Source organism: Homo sapiens, chromosome 16 (genome assembly GCF_000001405.40).
Source record: "Homo sapiens chromosome 16, GRCh38.p14 Primary Assembly".
Lineage (NCBI taxonomy): Eukaryota > Metazoa > Chordata > Mammalia > Primates > Hominidae > Homo > Homo sapiens.
In genome coordinates this window covers 76,569,639-76,576,978 of record NC_000016.10, presented here as the reverse complement: position 1 = coordinate 76,576,978, position 7,340 = coordinate 76,569,639, and positions in this window count along the sequence as shown.

The window sequence follows — 7,340 nt, the reverse complement described above, 5'->3', positions numbered from 1 at the left end:
TAAAAATAAAAATTCCTGTTACTCACACTTAATCAGAATGTCTTGACATAGGGGCTAAGAATACACGCCTGAGATGACTTTTATTTTCACAAAATTTTGAGAACTATTGCATCTAACACAGAGAGAATGTGGATCAAAGTCATAGAAATCCCTAGCATTTGCCAGTGTCTCTATCGTATCGTGTGAAGTGGTTGATTTGAAGGCTGCTTTGGAAAAAGATAACTTGGAACTTATGCAACAACTACTGTTCTCCCATATACCTTGGAAGCTACTCGTAGTGTTAGAATTTACAGCATGTACTTGCCAGGTGTCTGTGATGAGAGGGCTTTGGAATATATGCTGTTAACTAGGTAAAGCTAATTTGGAAGACAGAGGCACTTTGAAAACTCAGCAGGCCAAATGAGTCTACAAAACGATGTTTCCTTTAACCATCTCACTTGGAAAATAGTCTAACAACTTTTATAAATGTCCAGCAAAGCAGAAATTTAAAATGTCTTTTGGCCGGGTGCAGCGGCTCCCAGCACTTTGGGAGGCTGAGGCAAGCGGATCACCTGGGGCCAGGAATTCAAGACCAGCCTGGCCAACATGGTGAAACCCCATCTCTGCTAAAAATACAAAGAATTAGCTGGGTGTGGAGGCACATGCCTGTAATTCCAACTACTGGGGAGGCTGAGGCATGAGAATCGCTTGAGCCTGGGAGGTGGAGGTTGCAGTGAGCTGAGATTGTGCCATTGCACTCCAGCCTGGGTGAGAGAGAGAGACTCAGTCTCGAAAAAAAAAAGGGCTTTTATGATTCAGACAAATGACTATAAAAGGAAAAGCCAAACATAGAGTGGACATAAAACATACATAAGCATATATGTACACATAGGTACATACACACACAGTACACATACATACAAACACACGCGGTACATAAAATACAAGAATATATATATACGTGTGTGTGTATGAGTGTATTTGAGGTTTTATATAAATATGTATATAAATGTGTTTTAAAACATCCAAAGGAAAAAATTTGGTCCCTCAAAAAATGTAGGTGCACAAAATACGTTGTACCATCTGAAATACTCTAAAAATGTAAGTGGTCTGCAGGTAACTGCAGCCGCAGCCCAGAAAAGTAGACAGGAGGGGTGGCTGGAGAGCTCTCTTTGTATTGGACACATACTTACAGGATGTAGCCAGACTGCATGAGGAAGGGGTAAAAAGCTGTGTGTCACAACAAGGTGTTCTTAAAAACAGATTCAGAAGCTTTAGAGCTCTAGTGTTTTGAAAATAAAATTGTAAGTACATTTCTGTGTCACTTAGGACAAAACAATGAGCACCATGAAAAGGATGAAGAGTCAGAAGGATACGGCAATGTAGACTCTTTTTAAAACCCAAAACAAAAGGGGAGCCACAAGTTACTTCTCTCTTCAAATGGGAAGGAGAGGATGGGAAATCTGGCTTGAACTGAGCTATGTTTAAAACCATCGAAGCGAAGCGAGAAACGTGCTTCACATAGAGAAGTATAGTTGCTTATTTTTGCTCCATTAGGTACTTTTCTTCTAAAAAGGTACCAACGTTAAATATTTGTGGCTAAATACTAGTATCTATACTTCAATTTATTTAACAATAACCCACCTGACTTGATAACGTGATACACTGTGTCCATCCGAAAGCCACAACTGGAGGTCACTAAGGAGGCCAAATGTAGAGCAATTTGGGCAACAAAGTAAATGGGCATCACACTGGATTACAACTCAGGAATAAAGTAAATATGCACATTTCCGTACTAACACACATAAATAAATTAATTTATAATTAAATGGTGGAGAGGGGCAGCTCTTCCTTATAGAAAATAAAAATTAATAAATTCAGAAAGAGTGAGGAAAATCCAAAATCACTATTAGGGATATACCACCATAATAATTGTTGTTAGCAAGATCCACTGATGGATGTTAAAATGAGTGAAGGAAATTTTGAAGACAAGCTATCAGTGTAGGCTCAAAGTAACTTTACAAAGAAATCTGTCAGATACCACACTGACCAAGAGTTCAAGGTCCATTGCACACGTAATAGGACATATTGACATAAGCACTCCAGGATATCATATACTGAGAAGGCTACATCACCTCTGTGGTATTCTTGCCAAACAATGCATAAGTTTGTTTTAATCATGAGAAAACATCAGGCAAACCAAAATTGTGTGACATTCTACAAAAGAGCTGATCAGTTATTTTAAAAACTTTGAAGTGTCAAGGTCGTGAAAGGTGAGGAAACACTAAGGAAGTGTGACAAATTGAAGGATATTAAAAAGACACAAGGACCAAGTACACCCAAACTGGATGTCAGAACAAAACTGGAGGAATTCGCATTAGATTTGTAGGTTAGTAACTCATGTTAACTTTCTGGCTTTGATGTTGAAGTCAGATCATGTCAGCTGTTAACATTATAGAAGCTGGGTGCAGGGTAAATGTGGGCTCTCTGTAACAGCTTTGCAACATTTTGTAAATCTGAAATTATTTTAATAAAAATATTTTTTAAAAGAGAGAAATGTAGCATTTTCCTGTGGACCTGTCCTTCCTTGTGCTATTTGCAAAGTAAACCAAAAACATTACTGAGGCATTTTATCTCCCTCCTGGTACACATTTGAGTTTATTCTTCTGAAAGTTGCTAGTGGTATACAAATGGACATCTCCTCCCATGTAAACTGCCAGGTACATTGATGAGTCAGAGTCCAGCCCAATTACTAATAAAATGCATTCACAATACACGTAGTTATACCTTTTTTTTTTTTTCTTTTGAGATGGCGTCTCGCTCTCGTCCAGGTTGGAGTGCAGTGGCGCGATCTCGGCTCACTGCAAGCTCCGCCTCCCAAGTTCACACCATTCTCCTGCCTCAGACGTAGTTATACTCTTTATACATCTCAATAAGTAAAAGAAAATTACTAATGAATATAGCATGCAAAATGAACTGTTAATTGCCCGTAAGTGTTATTGTGGGTACATTGGTATTGTACATGGGCAACATTTTTAGCACTATGTATAATGTGACTAATTTAAAACACATTTCAGTACCCCAAAAATAAAATTTAGTAAATTTAGGGCATTGAGTAATGGGCTTTTATTAAGGTTTTCTTAATTAGATACTTGCTAAATAGGTTTACTAGTGATCACAAAACGAATCTATAAAGCAACTTGTAAAAATGTAGAATTTACTGTGTAATGGCCAGTCTATTCATGGTTATGACTATCAAGATAAGCTGGGCATGTGATAGATTGGCTATATTTTGCTTAATGTTTGCTTTGAGGTATTTTATTGTTCTAAATAGGTACCAAATGTCCATTTAAAAAGAAAAACAATAGTCAGCAAGATGCATAAAAAAATAACTGAAGGGCCATCTATGTTTCTACCAGTTTTAATCAAGTAAGTGAAAGCAATCACCCTCAATCCTTCTACAGGCTAAAGTCACTTAGAAATGGAGTCATACTGACTCTTATGTAAGCCACAGCAGGTGGGTTGCATTCCAGGTCCTCAGAGCTAAATACATGGAAGCAAATTGCAGCATCCAGTCCAATAAGAGTTCATTCTCTCTCTCTCTCTCATCCATCCAAGTGGACTTCAAATCAAACAATTAAAAACCAAATAGAAATGGTGACGGCTGATGTGATATGTCGGTTCTTGTCTTCTTGGTTGAAAAGAATTTAAACAAGAGACACACAGCAAAAGAAGTTCAGCATAGAGTAATTATTGCAAAAGAAAAAGAATATTTTGAAAGTTAAGTACAGAATAAACAGTACGCTGAGAAAGGAAATTTGGGGTGGGCTGCTCGTAAGGATGAGACAGCAGAGACTGGCACTTAGGGAGACTCCCTTTATGGTAGCCTTACACGATTATTCATAAGGAAGTGGAAAGAGGTGTTACTAGTAAGCATGTTCTGTGTGGTATTCCGGGTGCCCATGCGCAGTAGCTGTACATGCTTGCTCATACATCACATGTCACATTAGCATCTTAAATCTCCACCCAGGGTTGTGTTTTTACTATTATAATGAGCAAAGAGTCAGTTCAAAGACAGGTAAAATCAAAATTTGCGTGCTCGGCCGGGCGCGGTGGCTCACGCCTGTAATCCCAGCACTTTGGGAGGCTGAGGCGGGCGCATCACTAGGTCAGGAGATCGAGCCCATCCTGGGTAACACGGTGAAACCCCGTCTCTACTAAAAATACAAAAAATTAGCCAGGCGTGGTGGCGGGCACCTGTAGTTCCAGCTACTCGGGGGGCTGAGGCAGGAGAATGGCGTGAATCCAGGAGGCAGAGGTTGCAGTGAGCCGAGATCATGCCACTGCACTCCAGCCTGGGCGACAGAGCGAGACACTGTCTCAAAAAAAAAACACAAAAAACAAAAAAATGAGATGTGCATGCTGTCTAGAAGGGAAAGTCCCTACTGAAGATCGCTTTGCTTGCATGAGCACAATTACAATGCGAAGGCTGAGGCTTATTGTGTTGACTGAGTGGTCACCATGGTTGCTGCCTCCCAAGAGAACATGGTCACTTCCTTGAGTACCTATCCTTTCTCAGAACTGTATTAGAAAATATGATACACCCAAGGACTTATGTAAGACCATTGCAATATTGAAAACTCCCAAATTTTTCCAATTCAAATGCACTGCCTAATTTATTATTAGAACTGTATTAGAAAATATGATATACCCATTGACTTATCTAAGGCCATTGCGATATTGAAAACTCCCAATTTTTTCCAATTCAAATGCACTGCCTAATTTATTATCCTCAAACTATACCCTCTTTCTTTTAATGAAAATACTTATAACAGTGTTTGTAATTGTCAACCCACTGTGTGTGTCTTTGTGTATATATATATATCACGTTATATATATGTTCATGTTATATATATGTTCATGTTATATATATAACATGTTTATATATATATATTACATGAACTCAAAAGAAGAAAGTTTTGCATCAAATAATTATTGAGCAACCAGCTGTCAGTTCTACATGGTGGCATGATTACTGCTGAACAGGCAAAAATAAATAACTGATTATGACAGCACGCTTTCTTAAAATGTGAAAAATTGGAATGGAGGCTAGCATATTTTATTAAGAGCAAATAAGAGATACGAGGGCTGGACAATATAAGAATTATAACTGAAGAGCAAAGTTTTCTGTGCATCACACTTCAGGGTGCACCAGAAGTACTTTATGTATATTTCCCATTTTAACACACAGAACACTGAAAAGACTTACAGTCAAGGGTCAAGCTTTAATTAAATGAATAATTTTTACAACTTCATTAAGGACATCCTTTTTTTTTTTTTTTTTTTTTTTTTTTTTTTGAGACAGAGTGTAGCTCTGTCGCCCAGGCTAGAGTGCATTGGCGCGATCTCGGCTCACTGCAAGCTCCGCCTCCCGGGCTCAGGCCATTCTCCTGCCTCAGCCTCCCGAGTAGCTGGGACTACAGGCGCCCGCCACCGTGCCCGCCACTACGCCTGGCTAATTCTTTTGTGTTTTTAGTACAGACGGGGTTTCACCGTGTTAGCCAGGATGGTCTCGATCTCCTGACCTCCTAATCCGCCCGCCTTGGCCTCCCAAAGTGCTGGGATTACAGGCGTGAGCCACCACGCCTGGCCACATTAAGGACATTCTTAAATGAGTTTGGCTATTTTTTTCTTTCTTTTTTGCTTCCCTGTAAGAGAGGTAAAAGAAGGTTTATCTTAATTATGTTATCATATTATATATATGATACTTTAATTAAACTTTATTAATGTATTTGTTGATAAATAGATTGGTGTGCGGGAGGGGTAAATCTGTTTTGTTAATAGCAGAAGTTGCATTTGAGCATAACCGGGGTGCTTCAAGTTCTGGAGGTGAAAGTAATCAATTATTCCTTATTCTTTGCACCGGTACTTCCTTCCTTTTTTATGAGGTGCGACACCAGAAACTGACCCTTCAATTATATATGTACAGAAAACAACTTATCTTTCATCTTTATTTGATCAATATTTACTCAATTAACCCTGTGCTCAGTGCTGGGGACTGAATGTAAGACACAAAAAGACACATCTCCTGACCTCATGGGGTTTAGTTACAGTCGTGTTACAAAATTGTGCCTTCATCCTAAGAACAAGGAGAAAGTGCTAAAGAGAAATAGTGAGGGAGAGATGACATAAAGACAGGCTTGCAGAGTAGAGAATGGCTGCCATGTTGGTGTATTAGTTTGTTCTTGCACTGCTATAAAGAAATATCTGAGACTGCATAATTTATAAAGAAAAGAGATTTAAATTGCTTCACAGCTCTGCAGGCTATACAGGAAGCATAAAGGCTTCTGCTTCTGTGGAGACCTCAGGAAACTTCCAATCATTGCGGGAGGAAAAGGAGGAGCAAGGCATCTAACATGGTAGGAGCAGCAACAGAGAAAGGTGTGTGTGTGGAGGGGGGTGGGGGGTGCTACACACTTTCAAACATCTGGATCTAATGAGAACTCAGTCACTACGGCAAGGACAGTACCAAGAAGGGTGGTGTTAAACCACTCGGGAGAAACAGCCCCGTGATCCAATCACCTCCCACCAGGCCTCACCTCCAACATTAGGGATTGCAATTCAACATGAGATTTGATGAGGACACAGATGCAAACTATATCAGTTGAGAAGTTTACAGTCCTGATATGATAGGCTAATTAGGCAGCCACTTCAGTGAACTATCCAAGAGATGGCAATCTTGAATGGGGATTTTTGGAGAAAGACATATGGGATAGATTTATAATATAGTTAAGAAATAAATAGACTGTGGAGATGGATCACATAGGGAGTGCGATGAACGTGGACTCCTGGCTTGTTTTTAACTTTTCACAGCTAGGTGTATAGCATTGCTCTTCCATGAAATGTGAAACGCTGGAAGACACCAACAATGGGGAGTCGCAGAAAGATGCATTGCTGGAGTAAGGCGTAGAGCAAGAAAAATGAGGCTGATCTTCATGTCAACCCAGTGGTGGGTCTACAGGATGTAAAAGAGAGGGTATGTCAGAATCTTCTAGCTGGTACTCTGCAAGGATGAATATTCTATACTCTGGGGAAAAAAATGCACTGTCAAACATTTTGATTTTCCTGTCAATGTCTTGGGAGCTAGACCCTATCCTGTGTCTGAGTAGAGGTTTCCACCAAGAGTATGATTGTCACTGACACTAGGGCAGAAAGAAATCAGGCATTGACAAGAAACTGCCCTTTCTTTTGGACTGTGGCCTTTATGCTTGGGGGTGAGAATTGTGCCACCTGGGCAGGGGGACAAAAGTACTGAGGACTAAGTAAGAGAACCCTTGGAATGGCATGATTGGTGGATTCTA